This window comes from Homo sapiens, chromosome 19 (assembly GCF_000001405.40).
Source record: "Homo sapiens chromosome 19, GRCh38.p14 Primary Assembly".
Lineage (NCBI taxonomy): Eukaryota > Metazoa > Chordata > Mammalia > Primates > Hominidae > Homo > Homo sapiens.
Genome location: NC_000019.10, coordinates 45,960,941 through 45,974,362, shown reverse-complemented (window position 1 = coordinate 45,974,362; position 13,422 = coordinate 45,960,941). Strand labels below are relative to the sequence as shown.

Sequence of the window (13,422 nt, the reverse complement as noted above, 5' to 3'; positions counted from 1 at the left end):
CTGTAAAATAGGGATAATAAGCGTAACTCACAGAGCTGGTCGCTCTGGGGAGTAAATGCGATAACGTCTGTGACGTGCTTGCTTGGAACCGGACCTGGCACACAGTAAGTGCTCAATAAACGTTCATTCAAGGTGAGGAGTGGGGACGGCTTGGAGGAGCCCGGGGTCCTCCCAGCAGCCTGGGGGAGTCGGGTCCAGCTCTCTGCCGCCGGGAGGGGCGTGGCCAACCCAGAGGGACGTGGTCCAGGCTTCAAGGCTGGACCAATGGGGGCGCCGAAGGGCGTGGCCCTACCCGGCATGGGCGTGACCTCGTTGGGTGGGAGGGGCCAGGCGCTGTGGGAGCCTCCGGGAAGAAGATGCTCGGGCCAGCAGCCACCGCCAGCCCCGTCGCCGCCGCCGCCCGCGCCCGCCGCCCCCCGGGCCCCCACTAGCGGCCGCCTCCGCCTCCCACTCCGGCCACGCTCCTCCGGCCCCCCACCCCGAGCAGGGTCTGGGGGGCTCGGCCCTCTTGCCCCAGGGAGCCAAGAAGAAGCGGGGAGTCCCGTCCCCCCAGTGGCGCGTCCAGTCCCCAGCCTCTGTGGTCCCAGGAGAGACCCCACCTCTCAGTTCTTTCCCGGCCCTATCGGAGACCCCCCTCGGCCCTGCCATCCTGCTCACGGCCGCTCTCCAGGCTCTGTCAGCCCCCCGAGAACCGGCTCCCCCCTACCCCCGCCTTCCCTCTCCGGGGCTCCCCCTCCCCCATCCCTCCACCGCCCCCTCCCCCTCCCACCTCCCCTCCCCTCCCCCTCCCCCGCCCCCCGCCCCCCGCCCCCCCCCACCATGAGGATGATGGCCGCCGGCGCGGTGCACGGCCTCTTCACGGCCTCCGCGGCCCCGCAGCCGCCGCCGCCCCCGCCGCCGCCGCCGCCGCAACCCCAGCCTCCCCAGCAGCCGTCGCCGCCGCCACAGCAGCCGCCGCCGCCGCCGCCGCAGCCGCCGCAGCAGCAGCAGCCGCCGCCCCAGGCCCCCCCCATGGAGCCCGAGGCCCCGGATTCCCGCAAGAGGCCCCTCGAAACGCCCCCCGAGGTGGTCTGCACCAAGCGCAGCAACACGGGAGGTGAGAAAGGGCTGCGGCTCGGGGCGGGGGAGCGGGCAGGGGGCCTCGCCTTTCTCCATCCTTTCCCCCCCTCCCGTGGCAGGTGCAAGGGCTCTGGGGAGGGGAGAGACACCCCTCCCCGAGGCGGGGGACAGAGCGGGGAGTTGAGGAGGGGGCTGGACCCCCTCCTCCTCTCGCTGAGGCCCGGGGCTGGGAGCTTTGTCTGCGAGGAGAGGGGTGGGGGGGAGGGGGTGATAAGTGTCCTTGGGGGGCGCAGAAGATGGGGGGCGTGGGAGCCTCAGGGCAGGTGTCTGTGTGTCCTTGAGGGGTGTGTGATGTGACCCTTTCGGAGCAGGGGTGTTCCCCGAGCTCGCGTGTCCTGGCTGGGGGAGGGGAAGGAGTAGAGGCCTGTGGACCGGGAGCTTCCCAGCCTCCCTCCCTGGGGATGTCCTGAACAAGGGTTGTCCCAGATGGAGGCTTGTGTGGCCCTGGCCGGATCGTGCGTGGGGACAGGCTGGGTAGGTGTGTGGGGTGAAATGGAGGAAATGGTGGGTGTGTAAAGCTAGGTGGGAGAATGTGAGGCTAGGACAGGTGTGTATGTGTGTGCGTGTGTGTGTATGTGTGCCCTCTACAGCCTGGATGTGTGACATTAGGGATCAGGAATATGACAGCATAGGGGGGTGTATGAGAAAGACAGGGGACAGGGGCTGGGCTCCATGTTTGAGACCCTCCAGCGGGTACGTGTGACAAGGAAAGGTGTGTGCTTGTCACCCCCAAGGGGGCTGTGGCAGAGTGTGACACATGAGAGGGTGTGTGTGACATGCAAGGAGGTGTGTGGGGGACACCGAATGGGCTGGCTCTGGGTGTCAGCCAGAAGAGGCCGTGTAGATCAGAGGAAAGGGGTCCAGTGTGTGTGACACAGGCGTGGCTGGTGAGGGGATGTGACAAGAAAAGGGTGTGGGTGTGACTCCAGAGAGGCTGTGGCTGGGTGTGACACATGGAGGTGTGCAACAGTGACATCAGAGGGGGTGTGTGCAACAGGGAAGGTGGGTGTATGACGAGGGAGAGGCTGGGGCTTGTGGGTGAAACGCACGAGGGTGTGTAAAAAGGAGAAGGAAGGATGGGTCCCCATGTGACAGGGCACGTGTGCATATGACACCCAGCTGTGTGTATGGGTGTAACAAGGAGAGGTGTGTGTGTGAAATGGCTGAGTGTGTGACACCAGAGATATGGGGATGATTCTGCATGTGTTTGACAAGGGAGGCTGTGTGTGTGTCCGTGTGTATTGGAGATTGCCGAATGTTTGACACCACGGAAGGCAGTGTGAGGGAAGAGAGGGGCTCTCCCTGGGTGTGTGACCCAAGGAGGTGTGTGTACCAGAGAAGAAAAGCCGAGCTGGGAACTCTAGGTGCATGCCCTGCCGTGGGGGGCTCAGGGAAGAGGTGGGGTTTTTTGGGGTCCTCAGAGCCCTGTCCTCTAGCTCCCTGGTAGGAGGGAGACCCCGCAGCGGACAAGCCCCTCCCCGCGGTCACCTTGCCAAAATCTCCACTTCCTCTGGCCTTTTCCTCCGGATGGGAGAGGGATGGCTTCAGGCAGAGTGCACCCTTTCCTCTCCGCCAGGCCTGGCAGTGGGTGGGGTGGGGGCCTCCTACCTCCTCCCTACAGATGAATACAAGCCGACTTTCTTCCTCCCATCCTAGCCCTCCCCCACCTCCATCCAGGTGGGACAGGAATCAGGGACCCCCTGGATGCCTGTGAGGGTGTCCAGCAGAAATTGGAGGAAAGGGAAGTTGGGGGAGGGGATGGGAGGGAGTTTCCTGTCCTTCTTCCTGCTCCCCCACCCCCAGCACACACATGAATATGTCCCCGACTTCCTTCCCTCCTTCCTGCCCCACTGCTGTTCCCAGTCCTGGAGAGGTCAGGGACCCAGGAGGTCCCTGAGCCCAGCCAGACTGTCTAGCCCTCCACCACCGTCCTCCAGAGGGTAGGGGGTTCCCACCTTTCTCTACAGGGACTGAGATGCTTAGAATCTGATCACTTCTCAGCACAACTTAACACTGATGCCACTGCTGCTAATAACAGTCACATCTGCCTACTTGGCACCTACTACTCTGAGACATGGGTTAATATCTCAGTACAACCCCTGGGAGACATGATTTGAGCATCTTTACAGATGAGGAAAACTGAGGCTCAGCAAAATGAAACCGCTTGCCCAAGGTCACACGGTTTCTAAGTGATGGAGCTAGAATTTACCCAACCCTAGGCTGCCTGGTTCCGGAGCTCCTGGACGTAACCTCTGTGCTATCCTGCCTCCCTCCACAGCGGGGAAACTAGGATGAGCCTTTAGGGACCATCTCCTCCAGACTGTCTCCCACCCCGCTTCTGTTTACTCATGGGGAAACTGAGGCCGGGAGATGCAGAGGGACAGGCCTCCATTGACAGAAACACACTCAGGGGCAGGGCTGGGCAAGGGTCCAGGACTTTGATCCCAAAATTGAGGGCTTCTTTCAATAATATACATTCATAGCTGGGGGATGCTGGGCCAACCCATCCCCTTTTCTGAGCCTCAGTGTCCTCATCTGCCAAGTGGGCACATAAAAATGACCATAAGGGGCTGGGCACAGTAGCTCATGCCTGTAATCCCAGCACTTTGATAGGCTGAGGCGGGTGGATCATTTGAGGTCAGGAGTTCAAGAACAGCTTGGCCAACATGGTGAGACCCCATCTCTACTAAAAATACACAAATTATCGGGGCATGGTGGTGGGCGCCTATAGTCCGAGCTACTCAGGAGGTTGAGGCAGGAGAATCGCTTGAATCCAGGAGGTGGAGGTTTTAGTGAGCCGAGATCGCACCACCACACTCCAGCCTGGGCAACAGAGCGAAACGCCATCTCAAAAAAAAAAAAACCAACAAAAAACACAAGGATAATACTAACAATAGCTACCTATATTATTGTTTAATGTCTTACGTGCAATTTCATATCACTCTCCCAACATGCTATGATGGAATAATAATAATCAGTTATAATAATGGCTAGACTTACGATACTGCAGTATGCCAGGAACTATCATGGGAAGTGCTTGACATGGATCAATTCCTTAATCCTTACAACAATTCTATCATGTTAACCCATGTTACAGATGAAAAACTGAGGCACAGAGAGGTTAAGTCACTTGCCCAACGTCACTCAGCTGATAAGCAGCAGAACCATGATGTGAACTTAGGCGGCTGGCTCCATTGTGTGGGGAGACACTAGAATGGACCCTATTTTTAGATGGGGAAACTGAGGCTCAGAGGGCTTTTCCTGGGTGTCCCAGCAAGCAGTGGCCTACTGGACAGATGAGATTCTTGCCCCACTCCTGCCCGCTTCTGGGAGCAGATGGGAGAAGTGGAGGAGATGGTGGCAGTTCACACTTGCTTCTGGGCACTGTGAGTGGCTGGCAGATGCCGCTGGGAGGAAAACAAGGCACTAAGGGCAGGAAGACTTGGGTGAAGAGGTTGGACGGAAACTCTAGTCAGGGACTCCTTGCAGAAATAAATGACCCCAGTCTGGCAGGACAATAACAAACAGTGGCCCCCTTGATACAGATCGTAACTCTTAAGCTGCAACAATAATGACCCCTGTACTCCTGACTATATTCCCACCTCTGTCAACCCCCCCAAAATAAAAACCCATATACAGACATACATACATATCTCACACCCTCAACGTAGCTTACACCAGCCAGATCTTGCTCCTAACATCCCTCTTTTTTTTTTTTTTTTTTTTTTTTTTTTCTGAGACAGGGTCTCACTCTGTCACCCAGGCTTGGAGTGTAGTGGTGCAGTCATGGCTCACTGCAACCTTGACCTCTCAGGATCAGGTGATGCTCCCATCTCAGTTTCCCCAGTAGCTGGAACTACAGGTGTGCACCACCAAGCCTGACTAATTCTTTGAATTTTTTTGTAGAGACAGGGTCTTGCTATGTTGCCCAGGCTGGTCTCAAATTCTTGATCTCAGGTGATCCACCCACTTCATCCTCTCAAGGTGCTGGGATTACAGGTGTGAGCCACCATTCCCAGCCACATCCCTCATTCTTTGTTTTTTGTTGTTGTTGTTTATTTTGTTTTGTTTTGTTCTGTTTTTCTGAGACAGAGTCTCGCTGTATCGCCCGGGCTGGAGTGCAGTGGTGCCATCTCAGCTCACTGCAACCTCCACCTCCTGAGTTCAAGCAATTCTCGTACCTCAGCCTCCCAAGTAGCTGGGATTACAGGCATGTGCCACCACGCCTGGCTAACTTCTGTATTTTTAGTAGAGATGGGGTTTCATCATGTTGACCAGGCTGATCTCGAACCCCTGACCTCAGGTGATCTACCCACCTAGGCCTCCTAAAGTGCTGGGATTACAGGCGTGAGCCAGCACGCCCGGCCACATTCTTTATCACGAAGTCAACATCACCAGGTTAAGAGCCCCTCCTAGAATGAGCTCTTTCAGGATTCATATCTTGCCACCGTCATGTGCTTGGTGTGGAATCCTCAGGCGAGTTATTTCACTACTCTGAGCCTCAGCCTGCTTGTCTGAAACATGGAGGCAGGAAGATCTACCTCTCTGGGTTTTGTGCATTAGATGAGATTGCATATGTGAAGCACATAGCGTAAGGCTGGTAGATGGTAAGTGCTCAGTAAACAGTCGCTATCATCATCATCATCATCATTATTATTATATAAGTGTATGTCATTTTCCCTTTTCACCATCCACCATCCAATGGTGATTCACTCCAAGAAAACCGTGGCCCATCTGCCTTTCTTTCACTTAGAGACCGTCACAACTCAAGGCAGCATCACACCTTTCAGCATCTCATCCCTACATAAGCACACTCTAGTTGTATTGCATTTCACACCAAATAGGCAACACCGCCATTCACAGAAACACATCACATGCCTGAAGTCCCACCCCTCCTCGGCAGTACTGCTCCCACCCCACACCCTCTCTGCCAGCAGCATCCCCACAGGCTCCCGATGACAACACCGATGTCAAACCCCAGCCTCCTCGTACCCTCATAGAACATGCCAGCTCTCCCTTCCCCAGCCCCCAAACAAAACCATGAGGTGCCATGAGGACAACACCCAACATTGATGTTGCATCTGGACACACTAACACCAAAAACAACACCTCAACAACCCACACCCCTTCAGCTTTACCTTTGTCATTCATGACCCCCAAGATCAAAGCCACCTTAGAGGGTGAACTCTCTGACACTAAAATAGGCCACTCTTACTACAACACCCCAAATCTCTTGGGTAGGCAATTGTTATTTATGGAAGGGGGAAGGGAGTATTGGCTGATTTTTTTTTTTTCTTTTTTGAGATGGAGCCCTGCTGTGTGACCCCGGCTGGAGTGCAGTGGCGCAATCTCGGCTCATTGCAACCTCCGCCTCCCAGGTTCAAGTGATTCTCCTGCCTCAGCCTCCCAAGTAGCTGAGATTAAAGGCGTGCCACAACCATGCCCGGCTAACTTTTGTATTTTTAGTAGAGACAGGGTTTCACCTTGTCGGCCAGGCTGGTCTCAAACTCCTAACCTCAGGTGACCTGCCCACCTCGGCCTCCCAAAGTGCTGGGATTTTTGAAAGCCGTCAGAAGCATCCCTGAGGGGGTGGATACAAAAGGAGCAAGAGCAGAGACTCAGTGACTAGAAGGGGAAAGACGGCACCTTTCCAAGGTGGAAATGTTTGAAATTGCAGCAGGAAATTAGTCAGGAGACCTGAACTTGCTATCTTCAGTTCTTCAGACTCTTACATCGGGTAGAGGGAGCTGCCTGGACTCAAGGGAAGAGTGAAGAGTGGGATGGGAATGGGTGGGTGCGGAGTTCTGGCATGTAGATTCTGCCTCACTACAAGGGAGAACTTTCTCACAAGCAGTGCCTTGGTTGTTCAAACAGGGTGGGCGTGCGTAATGGCTGAGGGCTCCGAGTTCAGCTGAGGTCACGTGTCTGCCCTTGCTGTGAGGAAGGCTGGTCAATAGAGACCTGGTTTCTTTCTGGGGAGGTAGGACTCACATGGTGGGAAACTTCCCCAAACAGAAAAGATGTGCATAAAATTCTGGGAAGGACCAGCACAGACTGATGCTCACAACGGGGACTCCTGGGAATTCAAGTGCTGAGTCTCTACAGGTGGGAGGTCTTAGCCAATCACTGTTCATAGGAGACTCACTAGAAGAGGGGGCTCCAGGCGTCAGATTTGCACTAGTCTGATACAGGGACCATCAAGCCACCCACAAGATGATTTAAGGTGGTCCATGGACAAACTTTTTTTTCATTTTTGAACATTGTATGTTTATATTAATGTATGTTAGGGAGAACAAAAACAACCAGCCCTTCAAGCTCCAATTGTTAGCAACGATTTTTAAATTTCTTCTTAATTTTTTTTTATTTGAGACGGAGTTTCGCTCTTGTTGCCCAGGCTGGAGTGCAGTGGCACCATCTCAGCTCACTGCAACCTCCGCCTCCCGGGTTCAAGCAATTCTTCTGCTTCAGCCTCCCAAGTAGCTGGGATTACAGGCATGTGCCTCCACGTCTGGCTAATTTTTTGTATTTAGTAGAGACGGGGTTTTACCATGTTGGTCAGGCTGGTCTCGAACTTCTGACCTCAGGTGATCCATCTGCTTCGGCCTCCCAAAGTGCTAGAATTACAGGTGTGAGCCACCACACCCGGCCTAATTTCTTCTTTAAATGGATGCATTTAGGCCAGGCGCGGTGGCTCATGCCTGTAATCCCAGAACTTTGGAAGGCTAAGGTGAGCAGATCCCTTGAGCCCAGGAGTTCAAGACCAGCCTGGGCAACATGGTGAAACCCCGTCTCTACTAAAAATACAATAAATAAATAAGTAAATAAATGCATTTAAAATTTAAAAGGAATTTAAAGGAAAGGGACCTTGTCTGTTCCCTGCTGCATCCCCAGCACCTGAACCAAGGACTGGAAGGTCATGGGTGCTCAGGAAGGATTTGTTGGAGGAAGGGAAGGAAGAAGGAGAGAAAAAGAGAAGAAAGAACAATTCCAGTACAGAAGGACATAAAAGGGGCAAAATTCTAGAAGGTGGCATGAGAAAGACAGGAATTAGAGAGAGGCTGAGTGCAGAGAATGGAGACAAGGTCTGGCTTGTATCAGTGAGAGGACATTCCTCCTCCAAGAAGGAGGGAAAAGTTTGGGACAGCCCCCTAGGGAAATGGGTGATTAACAAAGTAGGATCACCCCTCCTCCTACCTCTCAACCCAACCCCCAAACCCCACGTATAGGGTGCTTGCTCTGTGTCTGATGCTGTGATAAGCACTGAACTTGTGTTCATGGTGTAGGCAATGCTGATAATGATGATATCTAACATTTCTCAAATCTTCTATGTGCCTGGGACCATCCGAAGTACCTTTCCTTACATTTCCTCATTTCATTAATCACAGTAACCCCATGAAGTAGCACTATCATGATTCCCATTGTATAGATGAGGAAAGCTGAGGCCCAAAGAGGTGAGGAGACTTGCCCAAGGGCATAGAGCCCATCAGTGGCAAAATGCACTTTTTTTTTTTTTTGAGACACAGTCTCACTCTGTCACCCAGGCTGGAGTGCAGTGACGCGATCTCAGCTCACTGCAACCTCTGCCTCCTGGGTTCAAACGACTCTCCTGCCCCAGCCTCCCGAGTAGCTGGGAGTACAGGAATGTGCCACTAGGCCTGACTAATTTTTGTAGTTTTAGTGGAGACGGGAGTTTCACCATGTTGGCCAGGCTGGTCTCGAACTCATGACCTTAAGTGATCCACCCGCCTTGGCCTCCCAAAACACTAGGATTACAGGCGTGAGCCACTGCGCTCGACCATAAACGTCACTCTTAGTCTAGAGTTGCTTCTGCTGTTTCATACAAAAATTCTCAGGGACAGTTTAAAGAAGTACAAGAGAGAGGGGGCAGAAGATGGGGAAGAGGGTGACCCCAGTTTTCTTCAGAGAAAATGAATACCTTCCACCCTCAGAGGGAAGCAGGGAAGATGCTCTGGCTGGGAGAGAAGATGGGGAGTGAAATTGAAGAAGCAGAGAGAGGACGGAGTCCTAGGGATTAGTGAGAATTCCCTCCCCATCTTTCTGAGCCTTCTGGAGATAAAGGACCCCTTATCTGTGACAAGTTTAGGGTGAGGGTGGGGAAGAGGACATATCCGTGAGTCCATGGAAGAGAATGAATTCAGTAGGGGTCAGGATGATTGGTAGGAAGGCACCAGAGAGGGGTTAATTACCTAATAGGCTTAATGGTCTGATTAAGCAAGTTTAAGAGGATTGCCTTGGTGTCAGGAAACTCCTTAATTCTGGACCCTTCCCCATGCCTGCAAAGCCACATCTAGCCCCTCTTACCACACCCCCATCTTACACACATAAGGGAACACAGAACTTTCATCTTAAGAGGCCAGGCAGAGGCCAGGCATGGTGACTCACGCCTGTAATCCCAACACTTTTGGAGGCCCAGGCAGTTGGATCCCTTGAGCTCAGGAGTTCGAGACCAGCCTGAGCAACATGGCAAAACTCCATCTCTACAAAAAATTTTAAAATTACCTAGGAGTGGTGGCATGTGCCTGTAGTCCCAGCTACTTGGGAGGCCGAGGCAGGAGGATCACTTGAGCCCAGGAGGTCGAGGCAGCAGTGAGCTGTGATGGCACCACTGTATTCCAGCCTGGGCAACAGAGAAAGAGAAAGAGAGAGAGAGAGAGAGAGAGATCAGAGAGTGTTAGAGCAGTTTCTCTTTTATCTGTTCTGTATGTTGAGGTTTTACGTGAGACATTGAAAATAGGCTTCCTGGCTGGGCTCTGTGGCTCACCCCTGTAATCTCAGCACATGTTAGCCTGGCTAACATGGTGAAACCCCATCTCTACTAAAAATACACACACACACACACACACACACACACACACACACACACACACACACACAAATTAGCCGGGCATGGTTGTGGGCACCTGTAATCCCAGCTACTCCGCAGGCTGAGGCAGAAGAATCGCTTGAACCCGGGAGGCGGAGGTTGCAGTGAGCCGAGATCGCGCCATTGCACTGCAGCCTGGGTGACAAGAGCGAGATTGTCTCAAAAAAAAAAAAAAAAAAAGAAAAAGAAAAAGAAAAAAAGAAAATAGGCTTCCTTTGCTTAAAAGTTGAAAAACCATTGGGGGATGGTTTAAGACCTTAAAATTTGGAAGCAGGATGGCCTAACTCCTCCCTTTCTTTTCCCAGTGCTTATTGCAAACCTAGTATGTGCTGTTCAAGTTTTGGGGACACTGTTCAAGTCCCTAGGACATGGGTGAGCTCTATGGATGTGATCCACAGTGGACCTCTGTGATCAGTTACTCTGAAGGCATGAAACGGGGATTCATCCTATCTTTGGGGTTCAAGGAAAGCTTCCAAGAAGAAGAAACATTTGAGTGAGAACCTAAAGGACAAAAGATATTGACTGAGGGGGCCCGGGCGCGGTGGCTCACGCTTGTAATCCCAGCACTTTGGGAGGCCGAGGAGGGCAGATCACGAGGCCAGGTGACCCAGACCATCCTGGCCAAAATGGTGAAACCCCGTCTCTACTAAAAATACAAAAATTAGCTGGGCGTGGTGGTGGGCACCTGTAGTCCCAGCTACTCGGGAGGCTGAGGCAGGAGAATGGCGTGAATCGGAGAGGCGGAGCGTGCAGTGAGCCGAGATCGCGCCACTGCACTCCAGCCTGGGCGACAGAGCGAGACTCTGTCTCAAAAGAAAAAAAAAAAGAAACTGACTGAGGGGAAGAGAAGCTGCCAGGCACAGAGCATGCACAAAAGCCCTAAGGTGGGAAGGAGCAGGGCACGTTTAAGGAACAAAATATGCACTGAGCCTGAGGCTCACGGAGGAAGATGAGGAAGTGAAGCTGGAAAGGTGGGTGGGGCCAAGTCACAAAGGGTCGCCAGGCTGGAGTGGAGTGCAGTGGCGCGATCTCGGCTCACTGCAAGTTCTGCCTCCTGGGTTCAAGCGATTCTCCTGCCTCAGCCTCCCGAGTAGCTGGGACTACAGGCACGCGCCACCACACCCGGCGAATTTTTGTACTTTTAGTAGAGACGGAGTTTCACTATGTTGGCCAGGATGGTATCCGTCTCTTGACCTCGTGATCTGCCCGCCTCCGCCTCCGCCTTCCACAGTGCTGGGATTACAGGCGTGAGCTACCGCTCCCGGCCGCAAAGGGTCTTCTTATACTGAGAAGTGTCCAGAATTTCCATCCTGGAGGCACGTAGGGGCAACGGGCAGGGGAGGCTAGATGCTTGCCTTGAGACTACATTAACAAAATGCTTTTCACATGGTCAAAAAAACTGGTTTATAATAAGCAAGGTGCGGTGGCTCACGCCTGTAATCCCAGCACTTTGGGAGGCCGAGGTGGGCGGATCACTTGAAATCAGGAGTTTGAGACCAGCCTGACCAACATGGCGAAACCCCGTCTCTACGAAAAATACAAAAAATTAGCCACGTGTGGTGGCGGGCGCCTGTAGTCCCAGCTACTCGGAAGTCTGAGGCAGGGGAACCCCTTACACCCGGGAGGTGGAGGTTGCAGTGAACCGAGACTGCACCACTGCACTCCAGCCTGGGCAATAGAGCAAGGCCGTATCTCAGGAAAAACAAAAAAAGAAAAAGAAAGAAAGAAAAGGAAAAGAAAAATTGGCCTATAACAAAGAATGGCCAAAACTCCACAAGCTGCCGCTGGCACTGCATCTAGGTCTTCGAGGCTGTCCTTCATCGTGTTGGTCCCCCCAGGAGTGGAGGGTGTTAAGCAATGATGGGAGGAGACTGAATCAGAATTGGATTTGAATCTGAGCCCAGTAGCTGTGTTCGTGTCCTTGGGCTGGTGATGACCGTGGGCTGGTACCTTCACTTCTCTGTGCCCCTCTGTGCCTCAGTTTCCTCTTGTGTAAAAATGGAGCTCATTCCACCCGCCTCACCGGGAGGTTGTGAGGAACGGACGAGATCAAGCTCACAAAGCACTCAGCACAGCGCCTGATCAAAAGTGAGTGTTCGGAGCATCCCCAGCGTCCGGCCTTCCTCTGCCTCCCCGCTCACCGCTTCCACCTGTCAGACCGCCGTCACCTCCTGCCTGGACCATTGCAGTCGCCACCTCACTGGGCCCCCACCTCTCCCACCGTTGCTTCTCACGGTCTGCTCCCCTCATGGGCATCAGAGGAATCCTCCTAAAACCTAAGTCAGGCCACATCCCTCCCATGGCTCCATCTCACTTGGGGTAAAAGTTAAGGACCTCACTGTGGCCTGCGAGCCCCATCACCCCTCACCACCAGCACCCCTCTCTGTCCTCATCTCCTCCCATTCTTCCCCTCTCTCATTCAGCCCCAGGCACAGGGGCCTCCTTAGTCCCTCTGGAAGAGCACAGGCACAGTCCCACTTCAGGGCCTTTGCACTCACTCGTCCTTCACATAGCCATGTGGTTCCGTTCCTTCCTCCATATCCTGATGATCATAATAGTTCAGAGCATGGACTCCAAATCTCAGCTCTGCCACCTACAAGTGTCCTTGGGTGATTTCTTCACCTTTGTTTCCTCATCTGTATGATGGGTTCCTTCATAGGATAAGTGTGAAAATTCAAAGGACTGGTATTTGGAAAGTACTTAGAACAGTATAGCACCTATCAGGTGCTGCAAAAGTGTGTGATGATGAATAAAGCCTGCCACATTCTTAGGAAGAGCTTCCCTGGCCTCCCTCTCTGACACTGCAGCCTCCCACCCTCCCTGACCCCCTTTTCCTGCCTTTTTTGTGTCATCAGGAGTCCCACCATCTGACATGAAATATACTGTCTGTCTTCCCCACCTAGAAGAATGTAGCTAGCTGTGCGAGCTCTTGGCTGAATCACTAAAACTCTTTCGGCCTTATTTGCCTCATTTGCCCACAAATCGGGGAGCTTTGTCTATTTTCTTCTTGGCTGTTTCCCTAGACCAGTGCCAGGCACGTAGCAGGTGCTCAATAACTATTTGTTGAATGAATGAGTGAATGAAGATCATTATTTGTATTATTCTCCATACTGCTACTGTGACCCCTGGGGTTTCCTCTGCTCACCCCCTCCAAAGGTGAAGACCCCTCCCCCGCTGACTCCCCTCCACCCTGTGTGCCCCCGCAGAGGAAGGCGAATACTTCCTGAAGGTGCTGATCCCCAGCTACGCGGCGGGCTCCATCATTGGCAAGGGCGGGCAGACCATCGTGCAGCTGCAGAAGGAGACCGGAGCCACCATCAAGCTCTCCAAGTCCAAAGACTTCTACCCCGGTGAGCCCCGGCCCAGGTCTCTGCCCTAGGCCCCCCGCCCTTCCTCCCTTTCTCCCTCCCACCTGGGCC

At 53.4% G+C, this 13,422-nt stretch overlaps 1 protein-coding gene across 2 annotated transcripts in view, besides 1 other annotated feature; it reads left to right on the top strand.

Moving 5' to 3' along the window:
• Positions 173-332: a silencer, noted in NCBI's record as "silent region_10806". NCBI's record gives its function as "represses an Ori minimal core promoter by ATAC-STARR-seq in GM12878 lymphoblastoid cells {active_cell/tissue: GM12878}" and the evidence as "EXISTENCE:reporter gene assay evidence [ECO:0000049][PMID:35858748]".
• The window catches only part of NOVA2 (NOVA alternative splicing regulator 2), a 40,132-nt gene continuing 27,207 nt past the window's right edge, over positions 498-13,422 (top strand). The window contains exons 1-3 of one of the 2 annotated variants that reach the window (XM_006723230.4): positions 498-1,096; positions 11,985-12,091; positions 13,210-13,353. Coding sequence is in view for 1 of the 2 variants with exons in the window: in NM_002516.4 (NP_002507.1) it covers positions 1,012-1,096; positions 13,210-13,353 (229 nt within the window). In the remaining variant the exon portion in view is untranslated. The remainder of the gene's footprint in view (positions 1,097-11,984; positions 12,092-13,209; positions 13,354-13,422) is intronic. The other variant, NM_002516.4, reaches the window with a different exon arrangement.